Below are 23,434 nucleotides of genomic sequence, written 5' to 3'. Positions count from 1 at the left end.
ACAGTAGGTTGATACAAAGTTGTTAGAAATTCTCACTGATTTACAGAAATAGCATTGATTAGTGACTGGCTAGACACCTTTAAGCTACAGGTGTGGATTATACTGTCTGGTGCAGCTTTATTAGGTTAATGTACAGCTACTTGTGTCAACAGCAAGCACTTTCAAGAGGTGAACACACAGTGCAAAGTGGGAATAGGATGTGACTGCTGACGCATCTTAATGTCTCTCTGGGTCTTATAATTTAAAAGGACTCATTCCTCAGATAAAAGTTCTTTTCTCAATAGTAATTCTGGGTAGTTCCTGTCAGAATTGAAGGACTATGCCCTTAACTTGTGAGGTCTGAGCTAACTCAGGTAGTTAGCATCAGAATCCAATGGAACTACAGGGCACCTAATTGGTGTCAGAGAAAATGTTGACGGAAAACAACAGTGGTAAACCCTTCTTGAAAACAAAAAGCCAAAAAAAGATAAATTAGCTTTCTTTTAACTTTACAGTTAAATTGTATAATTCCACATTCATTTATTCAACAAATATTTTCTGGACACCTACAATAGAGCAGGATAAGAGGCGGCGGCAATATTAAAAAGGGTGGGCAGGGCAGGCTCCACTGAAAAACTGACCAATGTCAGGGGTGCTGGAAGGTGGTGAGGAGAGTGGGAAGGGAACATCTGATGGAGAGGCAGAGGATCTGCCATGCCAAAGCATTTAGGCAGGAGATATTTGGTGGGCCTGGGATGAGCCAGGGAGCTGCTGTGGGAAAGAATGCTGGGTGAATGAGGCCAGAGTGGTGACAAGTGGCCCACATCACTTAGGATCTCATGTACTACTGTAAGTACTTTGATTCTTAGCCTGAGTGAAATGGGACACTAATGCAGGGTTCTCAGGAGCAAATCTGATTTACTAAAGAACCACTTCAGTATCCTGGAAGCCAAATTTTAGAAGTGTTACAAGGAGATAAACATGGTAAGTGTTATCAAATGACGCTGACAGGTTAGGAGAAGAACTGAGAATGGACCATTAAAATTAACACTATATGGCCAGGCATGGTGGCTCATGCCTGTAATCCCAGCACTTTGAGAAGCCGAGACAGGCGGACCTCCTGAGGTCAGCAGTTCGAGAGCAGTCTGGCCAACATAGTGAAACCCCGTCTCTACTAAAAATACAAAAATTAGCTGGGCATGGTGGTGGGCACCTGTAATCCCAGCTAACTGGGAGGCTGGGGCAGGAGAATCGCTTGAACCTGGAAAGTGGAGGTTGCAGTGAGCCGAAATCGCACCATTGCTCTCCGACCTGGGCAACAAGAGCAAGACTCTGTCTTTAAAAATAATAATAATAATAACAGGCAATATCTACATCACGGTAGCCCTGACAAGTGCAGGTTTTTTGGGTCTTGTTTTGTTTTGAGACAGAGTCCAGCTCTGTTGCTCAGCCTGGAGTGCCGTAACACAATCCGACTTTGAGACTCAGTGATCCTCCTGCCTCAGCCTCCCAGGTATGGGAGGTTAGGACTACAAGTATGCGCCACCATGCCCAGCTAATTATATTTTTGTAGAGACTGAGGAAAGTGAAAATCACCTGGTGACCATCGGACAGTCCCTGGAGACAAAAACTCCTTATCTGAGGAATTTAGAAGGGAGCAAAGTCCACCCAGTGACTAACAAACAGGCCACCAGGAGGCAAAACTCCTTATCTAGGGAAAATTAGAAGGAATTAAACTTCCCTAGTATCTAAAGTCGGCATCTGGCTCTTGGCCTCTTTCAACTTTTATGAGTAATTTCTATACATCTCTGGAATGCCATACTGAAACTCAAATGATGGGGTTTCAGGTTCCCATGTTAGCCAGGCTGATCTTGAAGTCCTGACCTCAAGTGATCCGCCCATCTCCACCTCCCAAAGTGCTGGGATTACAGGCATGAGCCACGGCGCCCGGTGGAGAAATATTTTTAAAGATAAAAGAAGTAACAGTTTGCTTCTATGCTTAAGGATATGATCCAGTAGAGGAGGGGCAAATGATGATGCAAGAAAGAGGGGAGAACTGGTAAAGTGATGATCTTGAGTAGATTTAACCAGAGTTGTGGTATTGTCAAACAAATACAAAGAAATACAAGAAGGGCCAAGGAACTAAAAATGTGTACAAGGAGTGAATATGATTGGCCATGGAATCTCAGCTGACTAAGAGGAAAGAGACACAACAGCATGCAGGTGAAGGGCCATATTGAAGTCCCATCAGTGCTAGAGAACTGAAGAATTCTTGGCATCTTGGTACCAGAGCAAGTTACAGGGAATGACAGGAAGTAGTGATTAAATAGTGGTAAATAGAAAACAGATTGTGGATGGATTACATATTATTCATAATTATAAGGTATAGGGCATAATCATGGGAATGAGTAAGTGAAGATGAAGTTGGGTGCAAGACAAGATTAATGGAGAAGAGCTCAAGAAACTGAGAGGCAACAATATGAAAAATCATCTAGGTGCATACTTAAATCACTAAGAGTTTAGACAAGAGTACTATATCCACCCAAATTGTTGGGAAATGAGGGAGAATTACAGTAACAATGAAGGGCAGAGAATGTTGTCACAAGATTCAAAATTATAGGGCTTTAGGAAAAATGAAGGTGTGGCTAGAAGCAGTATGGAGGAGCACGACCATGAGTTTCCTGGTATATGAAGCCTGTGGGAGAAACAACAGCCACCACTTGAGAAGCCTGACAAAGCAGTGCTGTTAGGAGAGAACCAGATGTCTTTCAGATCAAGGTAAAGGGAACCAAAGATGAATCAGCGCAAAGCATTTACCGTTTTTCTGGCATATGTACTGTGTAGGCTCACCAAGAACTAACTACAAGTTCTACAGCATCAACAATGAATTTAAATTCTTTTTTTTTAATGACTGGCAAAGGAAACATCATTAATCATTATTGAAATGAAAATTAAAACCACTAGACAGCCACTAGAATGGCTAAAATGAAAAGACTGACCTTAGCAAGTGTTGGTGAGACTGTGGAGCAACAGGAATCCTCATACACTGTTGATGTAAATGTAAATGTCACATTGGCTTTGGAAACAGTTTGTCAGTTTCTTGAATATTAAGCATAGACCTACCATATGATCCAGCCACTCCTCTCCTAGGTGAAACAGAATAAACCCAAGGGAAACTGAAGCATATGTTCATACAAAGAATTGTACACTAATGTTCAAAGCACCTTTATCTGTAACAGCCCCACTGGAAATAGCCCACATGTTCATCAACAGATGAATGGATATGTAAATTGTGGTATATCCATACAATGGGAAATGTACGAAGTATTAATACAGATAACAACATGAATGAATCACAAAATTATACTACATGAAAGAAGAGTCACATTTCTTCCCTCAAAACATACTGAGTCCATTTATATAAAATTTAGAAAATGCAAATTAATCTATAATGACAGAAAGCAGAGCAGTGTTTGCTTGGGGATGGGAAAGAGGGTAGCAGGAAAGAAGGGGTTACAAAGGGACATGAGGATACTTTTAGAAGTGATGGATGCATTCATTGCCTTGATTGTGGGGATAGCTTCACAGGCATATACATAGGTCAAAATTTATCAAATTGTATCCTTTTTAAAATGTGCATTTATTATATGTCACTTTCATCTCAATAAAGCTGAAAAAAAAAGTGGGAAGCTCTAAAAAAAAATGAGCCATCAAGTCACAAAAAGACACGGAGGAACCTAAAATGCATACTGTAAGTTAAAGAAGTCAATCTGAAAAGGTTACATGGTGTATGGTTCCAACTATATGACATTCCAGAAAAGGCAAAACTATGCAGACAGTAAGTAAAAAGATTAGGGTTTCCCGGGTTTGGAGAGAGGGATAAATAGGCGGAACACAGAGGATAGTTATGGCAGAGAAACTATTCTGTTATACTACCATGGTAGATACATAAAACGCATTTGTCAAAACCCATAGGATGTACAACACCAAGAGTGAACACTAACGTTAACGACGGCCTTTGAGCAGTATTGATGTGCCAGTGCTGGTTTATCTATTGTAACAAATATACCATTGTGGTGGGGGAAGGCAGTGTGTGGTGGGCAAGGAGTGTGTGGTGGGCAAGGAGGATGTGGGAACTCACTGTATTTTCTTGCTGATATTTTAAAAACTTTTTAAAAATTGTAAAATGTACACAACATAAAATTTACCATTTTAACCATTTTTAAGTGCACAGTTCAGTGGTATCAAATACATTCACATTGTTGCACAACCATCACCACCACCCATCTCCAGAACTTTTTCACCATCCCATATTGAAACTCTTTTCCACTCAATTTTGCTCTGAAGGTAAAACAGCTCTTAAAAAGTCTATCAATTTTTAAAAACCTAAGTAGGAGACATGAATGAATCTACATAGACAAAGAGAGATGTCAACAGCAATAAAATTTTGAAGGCTGTAAATCAGATAAAACAAACAAAACAACTTAAAAGACCAAACAGATATAAAAACTTACACTAACAAAAAGCATACTTAGATCCATTCACATTTCAAATTTCTCCTAAAACTACAAAATGATGTAGCTTCTCACTTGTCAGCTCAGACAAAATGAGAAGGACTGATGTTTCCAGTAAAATCCTCTTTTTGGCACCCACACTCACCTGGCTTTCCTCCTACCCCTCTGGCTGCTCTGCCAGTTGCTCCTCTACCCAACAATTAAAGGCCAAACTTCAAGGCTCAGGGTACACATTTTTTCCTTCTTGCCCAATATTCTCCCCTAAAGTGATTTAATCCACACTTACAGCTTCAATTAAGGATATTCAAATAGATATCTCCAGTTTGGACTCCTCTTCTGAACTCTAGACTGTCAACTTCACATTTCCTCTTGATTTTTCAATACCACTCGGATTTGATGTCCCCCAAACTACACTCATGACACATCCAGCTTCCTTCCACAGCAGATCTTCTTTCAGTGTTCCAATATCAGTGGTTTATACTCTCTTCGGTGGATACTGTCTTCAGTGTATTTGCTTAAGTTAAAAACCTAAAAGTCAACTCCCCCACATACCAACCATCAAAATATGCTGATTTTATATACCATTTTGAGTCCACCCACTTGTCTTCATATTCTTCAGCACCTCCTAGTCTAAGGTACCATTATCTTCCTTCTGAATTACTACAAATTTCTTTCTAACTAATCATCACCCTGGCCTCTTCCAATTCATTTTATACCTGCAGCCAGAATATTTTTCAAAATGTAAATCCAATTTGTTAATCCCCCCACCCACCGCCAAAGCCTTCAACTGCTTCTTATAGCCCTTAGATTATGTCTTTTTTTTGAGACAGAGTCTCACTCTGTCGCCCAGGCTGGAGTGCAATGGCACAATCTCGGCTCACTGCAACCTCCACTTTCCCGGTTCAAGCAATTCTCCTTCCTCAGTCTCCCTAGTAGCTGGGATTACAGGCATGCGCCACCATGCCTGGCTAATTTTTGTACTTTTGTAGAGACGGAGTTTCACCATGTTGGTCAGGCTGGTCTTGAACTCCTGACCTCAGGTGATCCACCCGCCTCGGCCTCCCAAAGTGCTGGGATTACAGGCGTGAGCCACCGCACCCGACCTCTTACAGCTCTTAGAATAAAGACACAGCTCTGCATGGTCTGGCTCCATCTACCTTTTCATCCTGATCTGTACCATGCCCACCCTCTCTGTGCAGTAACCACTCGCACCTTTCCTTTCCATAGCAGTGCTCACCATATTCCACCATCCTGCAGGGCCTTTGAGTAAGCTCTTCCCTCCGTGAAGAAATCTGTGACTTTTAGATTTAAATTACCTTTACTTTGTCAGGTAAAATGTTCATGACCTCCTAAACCGAGTTAAAAATATACCTTGTGTAAACTTTCGTAACATTGTGTACTTCTCTGTACCACTTGTTACAACAGTTTTGTTCTCTTAGTTAATTAAAATGTTTTCCCCACTTACCAACCTCCTGAGGGTGGACACCATGTCTATGTGGCTGGTAGTTTTATCAGCCATGCTGGACACAAAGTAGCCATTCAATAAATATCAAATTGACAAAGAAAGAATCAATGTTGGTGAGGTTGTATACATCATACAACTATTTAAAATAGATACTGTGTAACAATATGGATAAATCTCACAGACATTATGTTGACTTTAAGACAAACACAAGAGTACATACTGTATGATTCTACTTACAAGACATTCAACAACAGGCAAAACTAATTAATGGCACTGAAGTCAGAATCATGGCTATCTTTGGCATAGCGGTATTGAGTAGCGAGGAGCTGGAAAGTTCTGTATCTCAATCTGAGTGGACGTTATAGGAGATACGCAAAACATATATGCAAAATTATCACTCTTTGTAGAATGCTCTTCTGTGTGTGACATATCTCAACAAAAGGAAAAAAAAAGGAAGGCATTCTAGGAAGAAAGAAAGACTGAAAACTAAGTATCAATAAGAAATATGCCCATAAGACTTTGGTAAATGAAAAGACCACTTTGCAAAACACAATGTATATTATGATCTTGTTTACTTCAATTCATGAAAAAAAATTTTCAAAATTTACATTGACAAACTATATTTATGGGTACAAAACTGATGTTATGATATCGTATACAATGTGGACACATTAAATCAAGCTAATTAGTATCCATTGCCTCAAATTTTTATGTTTTATGGTGAGAACATTTGAAATCTGCTCCCTCAGAATTGCAAAATACACAGTATTAACAACTATGGTCACCATGCTTTGCAATAAATCTCAAAAAAATGTATTCCTCCTAACAGAAACTTCATGCCCTCTGACTATCATCTCCTCCATTCCCCTCGGCCCCCCGCCTCTGGTAAACACCATTCTACTCTCTGCTTCTATGAGTTCAATTGTTTTAGATTCCACATAAGTGAGATGGTGTTTGTCTTTCTGTCCCTGGCTTATTTACTTAGCACAATGTCCTTCAGGTTTGTCCACGTTGTTGAAAATGACAGAATTTCCTTCTTTGGGGACATGGGCATGTTGTTTTACGCCTTTAATCTCAGCACTTTGTCAGGCCAAGGCAGGAGGATTGCTTGAGCCCAGGAGTTCAAGACCAGCCTGGGCCACACAGTGAGACCCCATCTCTACAACAACAACAACAAAAAAGGCTGGGTGTGTGCGTGCCTGTGCTCCCAGAAGCTACAAGGGAGACTATGGTGGGAGGATCATCTGAGCCTGGGAGTTTGAGGCTGCAGTGAGCCCTGGTCAATCCACTGCACTCCAGCCTGAGTGACAGAGTGAGACCCTGTCTCGATCAATCAATTAATAAAGGCTGAACAGTATTTCATTGTGTACATATACACCACATCTTTCTCATCGATCCATTCGCTAATAGGCACTTATGTTGCTTCCATAAATTGGGTACCTTGAATAATGCTGCAAGAAATGTGGAAGTGCAGGTATCTCCTCAACATACCAGTTTCAAATCCTTTGGCTATATACACAAAAGTGGGATTGCTGGATCATATGGTAATTCTATTTTTAGCTTTTTGTACAGTTTTCCATAATGGCTGTACTAATTTACATTCCCAAAAACAGTGTACAAGGGTTCCCTCTGCTCCACATCTTCACCAACACGTATCTTTCATCTTTTTGATAACAGCCATTCTGATAGGTGTGAGGTGACACCTCATTGCGGTTTTAATTTATATTTCCCTGGTGATCAGTGATGAGCATTTTTTCATATGCCTGTTAACCATCTGTATATCTTCTTTTGAAAATGTTTATTCAAGTCCTTCATGCTTTTTTAAATTCAGTTATCTGTTCTCTTGATATTCAGGTGCTTAAGTTTCTTATACAGACTGGATAGTAACCTCTTATTAGATGTATGGCTTGCAAATATTTTCTCCCAATCTGTAGTTTGTCTCTTTACTCTGTTGCTTGTTTCCTTTGTCATGCAAAAGTTTTCAGTTTGATGTAATCCCATTTGTCTGTTTTTGCTTTTGTTGCCTGTTTTGGGGTCAAATTCAAAAAATCATCCCCCAGACCAATAACAAGAAGCTCTCCCCCTATGTTTCCTTACAGTAGTTTTTCAAATTCAGTAGGTATGTTTAAAAGTCTTTAATCCATTCTGAATTGATTTTTGCATGTGGCGTGAGATAAGGGTCTAACTTTATTCTTCTGCATGTAGATATCCACTTTTCCCAACACCCTTTACTGAAGAGACTTGTCCTTTTCTCATTGGGTGTTTGTGGCACCTTTGTGGAAAATCAACTGACTATAGATGTATGGGTTCCTTTCTGGAATTTCTATACTGTTCCACTGGTCATTGTGTCTATTTTTATGCCAGCACTGTGTTTTAATTACCACAGCTTTGCAACAGAGTTTAAAATCGGGTAGTGAGATTTCTCCAGCTTTGTTCTTTTTCTCATGATTGCTTTGGTTATTTGGGGTCTTTTGTCATTTCATATGAATTTTAGGTTTGTTTCTTATTTCTGTGAAAAAGGTTATTGGAGTTTTTATAGGGAATGCATTGAATCTGCAAATCACTTTCAGTAGTATGGGCATTTTAACAATTCTTCTTCTAATCTATGAATACAGAGTATCTTTCCTTTATTGCAGACTTCAACTTCTTTCATCAATGTTTTACAGTTTTCAATGTATGGCTCTTTCACCTTGTTGGTTAAATGTATTCCTACGTATTTTATTTTACTTGGTAGCTATTATAAATGGTATTGTTTTCTTGATTTCTTTTTCAGATAGTTTGTTGTTAGTACTTAGAAACACTACTGATTTTTTGTAGGTTGATTTTGTATCCTGCAACTTTACTGTATTCATTTACCAGGTCTAATAGTTTTTTTCTGGAGTCTTTGTGGCTTTTTGTATGTAACGTCACATTGTCAGGTAACAGTGATAATTTCACATCTTCCTTTCCTATTTAGACACCTTTTACTGTTTTTTTTTTTTTTTTTTTTTTTGCCTCGTTGCTCCGGTAAAGACTGTTGAACAGAACTGGCAGAGTCGACATCCTTGTCTGGTTCCTGAAATCTTGTTTTGATGAAACAATATATATATATACTTTCTTTCTTCTGGTTTCTCTAAGTGATAAAGATCCTACTCAAACTAGCTTAGGCAAAAAAATCATGTATTGAACTACACCTGTAAAGTTCACTTAGCTAGGCCCACAGTCTCAAACAATTTTTATTAAGAACTTCTAGAGTGAAACGTTCTAGACAATGGGAAAGCTAAAATTAGGGCACCACTCAGAGGGGACCATGAAAATGACAAGATGACTCTTCTCAGAGTGCTCAAACCAGGGCAGGCCAGGTTCCCAATGAGCCTTCTTGAGCTTCATTAAAAAATCTGTGTGCCTATATATCTGGAAAAATGTACCATGCATTTTAAGTTATAGAAGAAAGTAAAAACAAGCTGTAATGTTCAAACACGAGTCCCCAGTTCTAAAGGCAAAGAGACAGATAATCTGAAATGTTGGCATCTGAGCTCTATGGCAACTCTATGTAGCTAATTGCAAAGAAAACCAATAATTCATTTAATAATGACACTGATTTTCAACAGAAATGCAGGGCAACCCAGCTAGTGACATGTAAATCTTTTAAAATCATCAGGCTGACAAGTGTTCAGGGCTTCAAAATATAAAAGTATCTGCAAATTACAACAAACCCTCCATGACTTCTTAAATTCACACATAATCCTTTATTTTAAAAAATTCCTAGGTCAAAAGCTGATAGTCATATAATATCAATTTCATAACTATTATGTTTTCAAAGTACTCAGAAGAATTGGGTATGCTTTATTTATCCCAAATACTCCTTCCTTTAGTCACTCAACAAACATAAACACCCACAATGCATATTAAACTAGGAGGAACTGCTGATTTTGATCATTTTGACCTATAAGGAAGAGCAATTTCATATGGTTCAACATAAAACCACGCATTCGCCTGTTGCTTGGATACAACAGTGAAAACAAATTCCCTGGCTCCATGTGGAGTTTACATTCTGTGTATATGTGTTTGGGGATGTTGGGGCAGATGAATGAACAACCAAATATATGGTATATCAGATGGTGTCACAAACTTGAAAGAAGAACACAAAAGCTTAAGTGGGATAGAAAGTATAAGGGAATTGTCGTTGCTATTTTATATGGGTACTCAGGGCAGGTGCCACTGATGAGATGATATTTCAGCAAAATCCTAAAGAAAAATGGAGTAAGCATCTTAGATACCCCTGTAACAGCAAAATCTGGCCACTAACAAGAAAATTTCTGCCAAGCATATGCCAAAAAATACAAGAATAATTCTGCTAAAACCATTAGAGTACTAACACAATCACAGCCCTTATTAAACTTGCAACCCAATCTATACCTAATAAGTACATTCCATTAAAACTAGTGCTGCTGCCGCCTACAACTCTTACTCTACACACGTTTCATGTAAGTACTTTTTTAATCCATGTTTTCAACCTAACAAATATCCATGCATAAGAATACACATAAAGATAAGCAATTTATTCTTACATCTTTTGAAGAACCTGGGCCATCACAACCCCATTCGTTAAATCTTCCACGGTCTGGCATGGTGCATCCACATTAAATGTCTGGATCTGAAGGGAAAAAAAGAGGGGGGGGGGAGAGATTCTGTGGTTACCTCTGTAGAAAATTTCTTAGGCCTTTTTTTTTTTTTTTTTTGGAGACGGAGTCTAGCCCTGTCACCCAGGCTGGAGTGCAATGGCCCCATCTTGGCTCACTGCAACCTCCACCTCCCAGGTTCAAGTGATTCTCCTGCCTCAGCCTCCCAAGTAGCTGGGATTACAGGAACGCACTACCACGCCCTGCTAATTTTCTGTATCTTTAGTAGATACAGGGTTTCACTATGTTGGCCAGGCTGGTCTTGTACCCCTGACCTCAGGTGATCTGCCCGCCTCGGCCTCCTGAAGTGCTGGGATTACAGGTGTGAGCCACCGCACCTGGCTGAAAATTTCTTAGGCTTTTTTTTTTTTTTGGTGATTATCTCATCTTAGGGATTGGAATAAATTTTAAAAAGAAGTCTAATTGGAAACTTTTGCCTTTAAGGGAAATGTCCTGCCAAGTATTACTGTAATTCTTCCCCACTGGTAAAAGAGAAATCGTGGTGGATACTGGGTGGCTTCCCAGCATCCATTCTACTCACACAAGATCAATCTATGAAAATCACGGCACGTTCATCCCCTCTACCAGTGACTGACTCAGGGACACACAGGGAAAAGACAATTTGGACTAAAGAGAGATAAGGAGATGCTTCTGGGAAAGAAAAGCCAATCTCCTGTTGATTTAAGTATGCTGCCTCCATTACTGTGAGCCGTCATCTCATGACTACAAAGGCAATCATCTTAAGATTAGGCCAATGCAGTGAAAGGCAGAGAGAAGAGCTAGAAAGAACTATATCCCCTCCACCACGGCACCCCCCCCCCCAAAAAAAGAAACAGGAAAAAAAAAAAAAAAGAACTATGTCCTAAAGGTAAAAACTGAACTACTGAATTTAAAAATCTTGATGCCTCCCGGTATGTGAGATGAATTCATTTATTCTTTACATCTGGTGAGGTTGCAGTTTCTGTTACTCGGAGGCCAAATATCTTTACACAGATGTAGAAGTCACACTTAGAATGGTTAGGTTAGATATTCACTTCATTTTGATTTCAAATATATTCTGAAACTTTGTACTAATCAACATGATGTAGCCAAGAAATGTACTTTCCCTAATAGTATAAATTCTCTCTCAAAGTAAGAAAATGTAGCTGAGCCAGCTACCCAGTAGTGTACTCAGGATTTAGACGGAAATCAATCCCTGAGAACAGACAGACACAGGCCATCCTCTCATAGAACTTACAACTAGGAAAAATGAAACAGTATAATAGAAGTGTCAACAGCAGGCATAAAGATGAGAAGTGAGAGTGGGATGCAATTTAGGTATGAAGAGCAGCTTGGTACAGATCGAGTAGGGGTAAGAATTGGAGGAAGAAACAGAACAGGGGAGAATTAAAACGGTGAAAGACAGGGCAAAAAACTGAAGAATTAACATGTAAAACCTTAGAAGCCACATTAGGACCTTATTCTATGAATAAAGTAAGCAAAGGATTTGAACCAGGGGAGTGAGCCATGAGGTTTGCATTGTATTAATATAAGATCTGGCCGGGGGCGGTGGCTCATGCCTGTAATCCCAGCACTTTGGGAGGCGGAGTCGGATGGATCACGAGGTCTGGAGATCAGAACCATCCTGACTAACACAGTGAAATCCTGTCTCTTCACTAAAAATACAAAAAATTAACCAGGCCTGATGGCACACACCTGTAGTCCAAGCTACACTGGAGGCTGATGCAGGAGAATCGCTTGAACCCGGGAGGCGGAGGTTGCAGTGAGCCAAGATCATGCCACTGCACTCCAGCCTGGGCGACAGAGCGAGACTCCGTCTCAAAAAAAAAAAAAAAAAAAAAGATCATACCGGCTGCAGTATGAAGGAAGGAGTGGAGGGAAAGAGACAGGAAGACCCATTTGAGTAGGTTTATATACTAACACGGATGAAGCTAAACTCAGTACAGACAATGAGAATACTGGGAATAACACTCAGGTGACCATATGTCTTCACACAAATTTTTATTTATTGGGTTAGAAAAGAAGTAAAACTGCTAGGTCAAAAAGTGTATGAACATTTTACGGTTTTTGATAAAACTGTCAAACTGCCCTAAATATATACTGTAGCAATTTATTCTCTTACTAACGGTGGGTGAGTGGCTACTTCTCCGCACCGTATCATTTATCAAATCTTTTTGTTTTGTTTTGTTTTTCAGACGGAGTCTCACTCTGTCGCCCAGGCTGGAGTGCAGTGGCGCGATATCGGCTCACTGCAAGCTCCGCCTCCCGGGTTCACGCCATTCTCCTGCCTCAGCCCCCCGAGTAGCTGGGAATACAGGCGCCCGCTACCATGCCCGGCTAACTTTTTTGTATTTTAAGTAGAGACAGGGTTTCACCGTGTTGGCCAGGATGTCCTCATCTCTGACCTCGTCATCCGCCCGCCTTAGCCTCCCAAAGTGCTGGGATTACAGGCGTTTGAGCCACCACGCCCGACCTCATTTATCAAATCTTTAAAAGACAACTATTGGCCGGGCACGGTGGCTCATGTCTGTAATCCCAGCACTTTGGGAGGCCGAAGAGAGTGGATCACGAGGTCAGGAGATGAGACCATCCTGGCCAACACGGTGAAACCCCGTCTCTACTAAAAATACAAAAAATTAGTCGGGCGCTGTGGCGGGCGCCTGTAGTCCCAGCTACTCGGGAGGCTGAAGCAGGAGAATGGTGGGAACTCGGGAGGTGGAGCTTGCAGTGAGCCGAGATCGCGCCACTGCACTCCAACCTGGGCCACAGAGCGAGACTCCGTCTCAAAAAAAAAAAAAAAAAAAAAAAAGACAACTATTAACAGTACAGTCAGTAGCTTCTTTGTATATAATACAGGAGAGTTTTGCAGGTAGAGACGGTTATGGTGGTAGAGGCCCAGGGAATTATCTTAAAGATCCTCATAGCAAGTTTTTACTTAAGTGTCTATTTGGGAAAGCTGATAAGAGGATCCTTCCAAGCTGCCCTGACACAAACCAAACACCTGGTAGAGGTGCAATAAATGATTAGTAAATGAATACATGAAACAAATAAACACCATCTGCGGGAACTGATTTTGAATTTTACTCCATACTATCTCCAGCTGCCTGCTCATTAGTAAAAGAAATAAGCACTTAAAAGAAATAAGCACTTGCTTCCATTCTACAGTTGCCAAGTCAATGGCCCATTTTCAAAAAAGAAAACCCAATCTTTCTTGTAGGTTTGTTTAGAAGGAAAAATAGAGGCAGCAGTGAGGACTATGTCTCATTCTTCTCTTTATCACTGACCTCAGCACAATGCCTGATACGAACAAGCCCTCAGTGGACGCCACTTTGAATGAAAGGAGCTAATTCTAATCCCTAGTTTTGCCCTGTAAATTTAGACAGGATGTTTCATCTCTCTCAATATCAGTTTTTCCATATAAAGAAAGATTGGGGAAAAATAGCCTATAGAAGGGTGTGTTGCTTCAGAATGAATGAGAAAATGAATGCCCATGAGGTATTTTGCAAAGTCTAAAGCAATGGTCCCAAACCTGGTGTGTAGGGGAATCATCTGGGGGGGTTTGAAAATACACATTTTGGCAGGGCGTGGTGGCTTATACCTGTTACCTCAGCACTATGGGAGGTCAAAGCTGGAGGATCACTTGAGCCCAGGAATTCGAGACCATGCTGAAAAACATGGCAAAATTCTGTCTCTACAAAAAATACAAAAATTAGCTGGGTATGGTGGGTCACGCCTGTAGTCCCAGCTATTCAGGAGGCGGAGGTGGGAGGATCACTTGAGCCTGGGGGGTCGGGACTGCAGTGAGCTGTGACTGCTCCACGGCACTCCAGCCTGGGCAACAGAGTGAGACCCTGTCTTAAAAAAAAAAAAAGAGAGAGAGAGAGAGAATACACATTTCTTGGCTCCCCCTACTGAATCAGAATCTGTGTGTAGGAAGCTGGGGATCTATTTTTAACAAGTTCATCAAATAATTCTTACACAGCTGGGCACTGGTTTGGCATTTGGAATCCTATGATCCAAAGCACTATGAAAGGGAAGGGATGCAAGATTGGAAAACAGCCTCTGGCCAATCAGAAGAAGCAACTCAACAAAGCAGGTAATTCAAAAAAGCAAGTAACTTAGTTGTTAAGACTTGATCTGGGCCTGGCACGGTGGCTCACGCCTGTAATCCCAGAACATTTGGAAGCCGAGGCGGGTGGATCTTGAGGTCAGGAGTTCAAGACCAGCCTGACCAACATAGTGAAACCCCGTCTCTACTAAAAAATACAAAAATTAGCCGGGCGTGGTGGTGCGTGCCTGTAATCCCAGCTACTAGGGAGGCTGAGGCAGAATTGCTTGAACCCAGGAGGTGGAGGTTGCAGTGAGCCGAGATTGTGCCACTGCACTCCAGCCTGGGCAACAGAGCAAGACTCCACCTCCAAAAAAAGACTTGATTTGTTTTTTTCTCTTGGGATTTAGGGAAGCTAAATTTTCATTTTTGTTTTTAAAACATGGCTTTATTCAATTATTTTCTCTGTATTAGCCCTTGAGGTACATAGTTGCTCATAAGGGTCAGAGATGTCCACCTCTGCTGCAAGACCAAAGTGAAACAGATCCTAAAGAAAATTTATCCCCTAGTTTATTTTTGGGGTGATGAAAATGTTCTTGGAACTAGATAGTCATGATGACTGCACAATCTTGTGATCATACTAAAAACCAAAAAAATTATACACTTTAAAAGGATGAATTTTATGGGTATGTAAACCGTACCTTAATTTTTAAAAATCTGTCACATACCAGTTCTCTGAGCTAACATCTATTTCAGGATAGCAGTACAATAAAACTGAAAGACAATTGCACTTAACTGCATTAAGGCATGAAACTCTACCTGAAGGGTTATAATCTTTCTTTTAATTCCAAGAAGCTCTATTACCACCACCCAACCTCTACCTCCCCCTCCCCAACAAAAGCATGAGAAGAGTAAAGCATGAGATCACCTGGAATTACTATCTCTAGAGCAATGGATAATTTTGCTCCCGAGGAGACATTTTTGGCTGTGAGTTGGGTGCTATTGTCATCTAGCTGGTTGAGGCAATGGGATGCTACTATTAAACATAGCGCATAGTGCAGTGCCCACACAGCAAAGAACTGTCCAGCGCAAAATGTCAAATAATTTTCTAGAGCCATGGTCCTCAAAATGTGGTCCCTATGTCACCAACAATGGCATCACCTGGGAACCTATTAGAAATACAAAATCTCAGGCCCAGCCCAGACCTACAGAACTAGCAACTCTGGGCATCTGTGTTTTAGCAAGCTCTCCAGATGATGCAGATCAACACTAAAGCATGAGAATCTCTGGTGAAGTTAGCAAACATAAAGTTAAATATCAATGCAATCAAAACACAGAGGTGAAGTTACAAAGTCACATCAGTTAGTATAGAACAAAACTAGGATTTGAACCCAGGCTGCCTAATGTCAGAACCTGTATGTACTCTTATGCTATACTATCTTTTTAAGTACTTTAACTTTTGTACATCAGTGACTTATTCTTCCATTAGAGGACAAAAATTGTTGGCAGAATCGAGTTAGGCAGAGGAGAATGGAATGGGGGAGATACCACCATAATAATTATACCACCCCCAATTCTATATACTAGTATGCATTTTATAGGCTGCCAAATAAGTAATATGAAAACAATAAGGACATATTAATGTTGCTAGGTTATCCCAAAGTGTACCGAGCCTATGTGATGACTTTTTTTGTCATAACTTGGTAGCATTGTAGACTTCGTTTTTCAGTCTCTAAAACCTGGAAAAGTGCTATCTTTTCATCGAGATTCACATACAGTTCAAGAAATTAGGCTTCACAGGTGTAATTGGCAGGGCAAATTTTGACTCAGAGGGTGGAGAGAGGAGGCACAGTGGAAATTTTCAAGCATGTCCTGCTGAACTTGTTTGCATAAACTTTGATTTGGAATTTAAGCTTAAGATGTTTCCCCTTGGTAAGATGATACTTAACTCTTTTTGTAACTCTCTCTTTCGAAAAAATTTGGAACATATGGTTCTTGGGCTAGTAGGCTGTCTGATAAAAGGGCAATTTATCTAGCATATGAGGCAATGAGACGTTCCATTGAGTTCTGTATAGGTGACAGAATCATCCCTTTAAGTACTTGAGCTTTTATTACTTTAGCCATTTCTAGTGGAATAATTTCTAAAATGTACTATATACATCTCTCCAATCTCAAACTAAATGCTATGTAGTGAAAACAAACTTTTATCTGATACTCAGGAATATAATTATGATCTTCAAAACTTGAACAGGGAGGCTCTAGAAGTACATAAGGCTGTCATCCCAAAGACGGAATCATTCAGCTCTTAGATCTTGTCTGTCACTGACAGTTGTCTGCATTTTGCTGAGTGTCAGTCACCTTCTAGCTTACTGTGTGAGAGCAAAACCCCCCACACAACCAAACTGACTAGAAGCTGACATAAAATCAAGAAAACTAATCTAAATGAGTCTTTTCTTTGGAGTGTATGTGTACATTTTTGCTTGCATTTGGTTTTAGAATTGTGCTTAGCATTAATCTGGCTTACAGATAGGAGGGGTGATATTATACATTTAAATGTCATCAAACATTGCTCATTGAAACATTTATTCTGCTTTTTATAATGACAGCTAAAAGAGAACAAACCCAGCATTTAAACTCTATTTTGAAACATGTCTTTTAAAGTGTTTCCAAATTTTAGAACTGTACATCTTCATGAACACTGCCCTCCAATTTTGTCACTGATAATCTCTAATCTTATCCAGAAATTCTCATTGATGAGTTTCCAGTGACATTTCAAAAAGCCTATTCTACAATACTATACTCCCTGACCTCTCTACAGCTGATAATGTGGATTACTCGTTTTCTTGACATTTTAGGAGATTCTAAATAGATTCTCTCATGTTGTCAGGTTCTGTCAGCAGGCCTTCAAACTTCTAAGATTTCTCCTGTATATTTTTATCAGCATTTCTCACTTAAATAAATGCAATTACTACCTACCATATTTTGTGGATACCCTTCAAATACAGACGGTCCCCAACTTAGGATGGTTTAACTTAAGACTTTTCAACTTTACAATGATGCAAGATACACATTCAGTAGAAACCATACTCTGAGTGCCCATACAACCATTATATTTTTCATTTTCAGTACAGTGTTCAATAAATTGCATTAGATATTCAACAATTTATTATAAAACACGTTTTGTGGTAGATGATTTTGCCCAATTGTAGGCTAAGGTAAGTGTTCTGAGCACGTTTAAGGTAGACCAAGCTAAGCTACCGTTTGGACGGTTAGGCGTATGAAATGCATTTTCAACTTACGGTATTTTCAACTTATGATGGGTTTACCGGGATGTAACCCCATCGCAAGTTAAGGAGCCTCTGTACACCTCTTTATTTCCATGTCTTCTTTCTCCCTAGATTTTAAACAATGTAGCCCTACTTAGATTCAATTAGCTTCATCTTTGCCTTCTGGCTGCTTCTTCTAGCATAAAGGGAAGCACTACTTGCACAGTCTCAAAAACTTAAATCTTAAGTTCCTCAGCATTCTGTTTACAGATGTACAGATTCTGCCAAATCTATTCCTTCCACAACATCAAAGAATTTAGTAATTCTTTCCTCTCTCTCTCTCCCCTGCCTAGTCAGAAACCTCAGCCACATTATACAACTTACCAGTCTTCCTCTTTTCTGAAATACAGCAGTGAAAGCCATCTCCTTGCCTGGAGGGAGAACTCATCAGAAGGGTAAGCTGCACGCTAACTACATACTACTGCTAACGATCTGAAATCCCCTAAATGGTCTGATATGCAACTGGCTACTCAAGCTCTACCAAGTCTGTTTCAGAGGACAGAAATTGATTCGTGACGTAGCCAAACTATAAAAACCTCAGACTATTTTTATTAATTTTTTTAACAACCAACGTAAGGCAATACTTCTCCAGCCTTTCCAGCAAAGTGCCTTGCACAGGATCGTGACGTCTACACTCCAGGGATCCTGACTCGTAACCCAAGACACCGCTAAAGAGAATTTCTCTCACATTCGTGTTTTACCTTTAAAAGTAATACAAATGCTGTAGTAGCCTTCATAAACACATCCGTAAACATTTAATTAACATTCTCAGCAATGAGTGAAACGGAGGCTCCCGAAGGCAGCGCGGGGTCCGCCCGGGCTCTGCGCATCCCTCCCCCTCCCCGGCCGCGCCGCGGCGAGAACGACTGGAACCCGGGCGTCGGTTCCCCTGCCGCGTCCTGAAGACCCGGCTTCAGGAAGGCGCGGCAGCTGACGTGAGAGGTGAACATGTATTTACTTCAAAGTATGAGGAATCTAAAACCGTTTAAGAATTCAAAATCAGAATCCCACGACTCTGTCCCCCAAGGCCTTCGAGTTCCATTGTTGACGCCCAGACACCTCCAGACTCCTTTAAACGTCTGCCCGACGCCTCTGACAGGCGTCCGCCCCTCGCGCACTCCCACCGCCAGCGGTGCCTTGCATCCGAAACGGGGTCCCCGGGCGCCTCCCGCATTCTCCCCACGCTCCCTCACAGGTCCTTTCAGTTCCCGGGCCGGAGCCGGGCCCGTCCTCCGCGAACGCGGCAACAAAGGCGAGGAGCGGCGGCGGGTCCTGGACGCGGGGCAGTCAGGCTCGGCCACCCCCAGAGCGCAGCGCAGCCCCAGCTGCGAGCAGCCGCACGGATCCCAGAGTCGCCCGCCGCGTTCCCAGCCCAGCCCCGGCCGGGGTCCGCCCGGAACAGCGACGCCTCAGGCCCGGCAAGTCTCTCTCGGACCCTGGGCCGAGCCTCCTCGCCCCGCCCGCCCCAGGCCCCGGATGTGACGGCACCGTCGCCCGCAGCGCTCGCCCCACGGGCCGCGCGTGGAGGGTCCCGGTAGGTGGCGGGGGGAGGGGGTCTTCCCGCCGGCCCGCGGCCCCCACGTACCCAAGTGAGGAGGCTCTCGCACAGCTCCGCCCGCTCCAGCGACTCTACGCTGAACATCTTCCCCGCCGCGGCCAGGCAGCGCCTACCGCCTGGCCAGACACCGCCGCCGCTCTGTCGGGGGATCCGGGGGCCCGCGCAGCTGACTCGGCCTCAGGCCCGCCTGCTCCTCGGATCCGGCCGCCGACTCTCGCCCAGCGCTGGCAGCGGCTCCGCACCGTCACCCCCAGCGCCCCTCCTTCTCCTTTCACTCGGGACCGCGCGCCAGCCGCGCGCGACTTCGGACACGCCCGCCGCCCCGCGTCCCCGCCCCCGGCCGCCCACACCGCTCCTCCCCAGCGCCGCCGCCCTGGCTGGAGCCGAGGCCGAGGAGCCACTGCGCACGCTCGCGCCCCGGCCGACCCGCGCCGCCGCGCCGCCGCCGCCGCCGCCGCCGCCGCCGCTGCCGCCGGGCGCGCCCCCGCCACCAGTTCGCTGCGTGTCGAGGCGAGCACGCGCTCCGCCCTGGAGGCTGCGGCGACGGGTCCTCCTCCGCCGTCCGGTCGCGCCCTCGCGGAAGCTCGGCAGTGCGCGTGCGCCCGCACCCGCACTCCAAATTAGAAAGGGGACGTCTAGTGGGTTGCCCGGGAGGGGTGGCGGGAGCGGTCCTGGAAATAATCTGTCCTCTGTCGCCGGGAACTGGCGAGGTAGTTCCTTCGCGGTGGAGAGGTACGTCCGGCGCGCGGCGGCCACGCCCACCCTATCGGGGCCCGCGGAGCCGCGGACGGCGGGGTCTGGCCTTCTTGGGGTAGCTCTGGCCGCCGAGGCTCTGCGGGGCGGCGGGAGTCGCCGCCTCCTTCCCCCCGGGCCCCTCCCTCGTCTGGAAGCCCCAGAATCGCCCCGCGGCTGTCCGGAGTCGCCGGCGACGGTGGAGGGGCCGACGCGGAGAGCGGCTCTAGGTGGGTTTGGCGGCGGCGAGGACACCGCCGCTCCCTCTAGGGTCGCTCGGAGCGTGACCCTGAGAACTCTCCTTAATGCAGGAGGGGTGTGCGCCCGCTCGCCAATCCGTAAGGACACCGGCCGACCCCGGGCCTGCGTTTCTCAGCGTTCGGAGTTGCCTTCGCTTAATGGCGAGGCGGATCGTTCTGGAGCTTCCACCTCTTTAGAGGCACGAATCTGTCTGCTGGGCTGCCGATAAATTTTTAACAGATATAGCATACGCAGAAAAGTGCATACGACATACACGTTTAAAGAAGAATTAATAAAACACCCAGATAAAAACGAAAAGGGCATTACCGGCACCCCAGGAGTTTCTCACCCATGCCCTGTGCTCCTTTCGGAGCCTGATTGTCTCCTAGCCTGACTAGTGTGATCATTTCCTTACAGCTTTACCATCTATGTGTGCATGCGATGTCGTTTTCCTTTGCCTGTTTTTGAACTTTTGCGGGTGGATCACAGTGTGTTGTTTTGTGGTTTTCAATCAGTATTAAATTGGTGTACTGTGTATGTATAGGTAATTTTAATTGTTGCCTAGTATTCCAGTGTGAATAGAACAGTGAATCCATTCTACTCTGGTTGGGCATTTTGTTCAGACTGAGGCCACTCAGAACATGGCTATAAACATTCTAGTGTACCTGGAACGTAGTGCAAATATGTTGGAATTTCCAGGACATGCACTTTGGAGTCCTTAGAGAATTGTCGATGCGTAGAGTATGCATAACTACCACCCAATGCCAAATTTTTATTTGGAGTGCAACAAAGCTAACTTCCCAAGACACACTTTGCTTTGTAGTTCCTGGAACCCCTTTCCCCCACTTTTTTTCCATTAAGAGTAGGTTTTCTCATTGAGCACTGAAAACTGCCAAGACAGCATTGAGTGGGGTTTTTTGTTGTTGTTGATGGTGGTTTTTGAGAAAGGGTCTCGTTCTGGAGTGCAGTGGCGCAATCTTGGTTCACTGCAACCTCTGCCTCCTGGGCTCAAGTGATCCTCCTACCTCAGCCTCCCAAGTAGCTGGAACCACAGGTGCAGGCCACGATGCTCAGCTAATTTTCTTATTTTTTGTAGAGAGGGGGTCTCGCTATGTTGCCCAGGCTGGTCTCAAATTCCTGGGCTCAAGTGATCCGCCCGCCTTAGCCTCCCAAAAGTGCTGGGATCAAAAGTGTGAGCCACCGAGCCTGGGTCAGCAGTGAGTTTTTAAGGTTGCCTTACAGAGTACCACTTGATAGTTGACCCCTGATCATTTAGCATTTTGTAAGTGTAAAAAAAAAAAAACTTACCTGAAGTATTCTCAATGGTCTTTTTTTCAAACATTCTTCCCTACACCAAGGGCAGAGAAACCTTTAGAAATTACACATACGTGGCCAGGCGCGGTGTCTCGCGCCTGTAATCCCAGCACTTTGGGAGGCCGAGGCGAGCGGATCACGATGTCAAGAGATCCTGGCCAACATGGTGAAACCCCGTCTCTACTAAAAATACAAAAATTAGCCGGGCGTGGTGGCGGGCTCCTGTAGTCCCAGCTACTCGGGAGGCTGAGGCAGGAGAATCGCTTGAACGCGGGAGGCTGAGGTTGCAGTGAGCCGAGATCGCGCCACTGCACTCCATCCTGACGACAGAACGAGAATCTGTCTCAAAAGAAAAAAAAAATTACACATGTGTGTCTCGCCTGTGTTTGGTTCCTGTGTTGGTGCCTCTGGATATTTGTCAAACTAGAGTTCCTACATTCCTTATCAGGTTATTTCTGTCGAATCTCTAGCACTTTTAAGTGACGTATAATCTTGTAGGCAAGTGAATGAAGTCAGTGAGTATATGTCACATTGACTTACTCCTGACTCACATGCAGCTTGTCTTTAGATGGGCAGATAAGATGCTGGCCCTACTGGAGCGACTGTGGTTGTGCCGTCCTGAGCACCCTTCCTCCAGTGGCCCCGGTTTTCAAGGCTTTGACACAATGGACCTAAAGTCTCCTTTTTCAAGCTTGGCTGCATATCCACAGTGCTTTTGTGCATGATGTTACGTTGTTCTGGAGGTTTCATTTTGTAATTCCAGTTACCTTTGATGAAAGAAATTAGTAAAAACTTTTTGGATGTGAGTAATTGCAGAAGCCATGTGGCTGCTGAGTTTCTACGTAAGCCTTGGGGTAAAAAGACACTGAGATTCTCTCCTTTGTTCCAGGAAGTCCCGGAATTTCCTATTTTTCTATTTTCTCTGTGTGTTTTATTTTTTTTCCTTCCCTGAAAGCTTTGGAAATGCCTGAGGAGAGGTGAGTTGAACTTGTCTTAGCTGTCTGGTTACTCCGGTTAGTTGGAGGCTAGTTCTCACCCACAGCTGCTTATCAGATTAAAGAGGGCATGTCCTGTGTGACAGTGCTCCAGATTGCATCCTGTCTTCCCAGGGAACACATACTTAGAGCTGTGATTAAAGAGAGTTTGAGATGCTATGTGGAGCAGCTCTGGGGCAGGCATGGCTAGTTTTTATCATATCAAAACATGGCTAGTTTTATCATGATTCCTTGGCGGTTGTTAATAATATTAACCAAACACTGTAGCTTCCATTTACTGAGAGCCTATATGATGTGCCAAGCAGTATGCTAAATGCCTTACCTTCATTATCTCATTATAAACTTCACAAGGCAAAGCACTTCCCCTGCCACACCCGCCCCAAAAAAGAGTGGCAGTTTGATATGGTTCAACCTAATGCCTTTTACGTATGAGGAAGCTGAGACTGAAACTTTATGTAAGTCCAGGGCTGTCTGACTCTGGAACTTGTGCTTGTTTGCTGTCTGAAGATACTGCTCAATAAGATGTAGCCAGCTGAGCAATAGCAAAGCCAGTTTCTCTGCAAACTTCTATCAGTTACACTGCACAGTTTCCAAGATGGATG

General features: G+C 43.3%; 2 protein-coding genes and 1 non-coding gene across 22 annotated transcripts in view, besides 6 other annotated features; 2 read left to right on the top strand and 1 right to left on the bottom strand.

Annotated features, from left to right (window-relative positions):
• Positions 1–19,789, bottom strand: part of HOOK3 (hook microtubule tethering protein 3) — a 133,558-nt gene extending 113,769 nt beyond the window's left edge. The window contains exons 1-2 of the mRNA NM_032410.4: positions 19,579–19,789; positions 10,509–10,594 (exon numbers count right to left, since the gene is read on the bottom strand). Coding sequence (NP_115786.1) covers positions 10,509–10,594; positions 19,579–19,635 — 143 coding nt within the window. The 5' untranslated portion in view covers positions 19,636–19,789. The remainder of the gene's footprint in view (positions 1–10,508; positions 10,595–19,578) is intronic.
• Positions 19,171–19,230: a silencer, noted in NCBI's record as "silent region_19161". NCBI's record gives its function as "represses an Ori minimal core promoter by ATAC-STARR-seq in GM12878 lymphoblastoid cells {active_cell/tissue: GM12878}" and the evidence as "EXISTENCE:reporter gene assay evidence [ECO:0000049][PMID:35858748]".
• Positions 19,241–20,030: a silencer, noted in NCBI's record as "silent region_19160". NCBI's record gives its function as "represses an Ori minimal core promoter by ATAC-STARR-seq in GM12878 lymphoblastoid cells {active_cell/tissue: GM12878}" and the evidence as "EXISTENCE:reporter gene assay evidence [ECO:0000049][PMID:35858748]".
• Positions 19,468–23,434, top strand: part of RNF170 (ring finger protein 170) — a 47,663-nt gene continuing 43,696 nt past the window's right edge. For 8 of the 20 annotated variants that reach the window (NR_027669.2, NM_001160224.2, NM_001160225.2 and 5 more), the window contains exon 1: positions 20,162–20,283. Coding sequence is in view for 5 of the 20 variants with exons in the window: in XM_047422287.1 (XP_047278243.1) it covers positions 22,801–22,814 (14 nt within the window). In the remaining 15 variants the exon portion in view is untranslated. Of the gene's footprint in view, positions 19,528–20,161; positions 20,514–21,659; positions 22,815–23,434 lie in introns of those variants that run through there. The other 12 variants (XM_047422281.1, XM_011544666.4, XM_047422279.1 and 9 more) reach the window with 7 other exon arrangements.
• Positions 20,211–20,570: a silencer, noted in NCBI's record as "silent region_19159". NCBI's record gives its function as "represses an Ori minimal core promoter by ATAC-STARR-seq in GM12878 lymphoblastoid cells {active_cell/tissue: GM12878}" and the evidence as "EXISTENCE:reporter gene assay evidence [ECO:0000049][PMID:35858748]".
• Positions 20,211–21,045: a biological region, named in NCBI's record as "NANOG-H3K27ac-H3K4me1 hESC enhancer GRCh37_chr8:42750865-42751426".
• Positions 20,366–20,577: a silencer, noted in NCBI's record as "fragment chr8:42751333-42751544 (GRCh37/hg19 assembly coordinates)". NCBI's record gives its function as "represses an EF-1alpha promoter that drives an FKBP-Casp9 reporter gene in an ReSE screen in K562 erythroleukemia cells {active_cell/tissue: K562}" and the evidence as "EXISTENCE:reporter gene assay evidence [ECO:0000049][PMID:32094911]".
• Positions 20,484–21,045: an enhancer, noted in NCBI's record as "NANOG-H3K27ac-H3K4me1 hESC enhancer chr8:42750865-42751426 (GRCh37/hg19 assembly coordinates)". NCBI's record gives its function as "activates a minimal SCP1, AML or CMV promoter by ChIP-STARR-seq in primed H9 embryonic stem cells {active_cell/tissue: H9 hESC(primed)}" and the evidence as "EXISTENCE:reporter gene assay evidence [ECO:0000049][PMID:30033119]".
• On the top strand, positions 20,492–20,570 carry MIR4469 (microRNA 4469). Its single transcript, NR_039679.1, has one exon. It is a non-coding gene; the product is annotated as a microRNA 4469 (primary transcript).

Source organism: Homo sapiens, chromosome 8 (genome assembly GCF_000001405.40).
Source record: "Homo sapiens chromosome 8, GRCh38.p14 Primary Assembly".
NCBI lineage: Eukaryota > Metazoa > Chordata > Mammalia > Primates > Hominidae > Homo > Homo sapiens.
The sequence above is the reverse complement of the archived record's forward strand: the minus strand, read 5'-3'. Positions and strand labels throughout refer to the sequence as shown.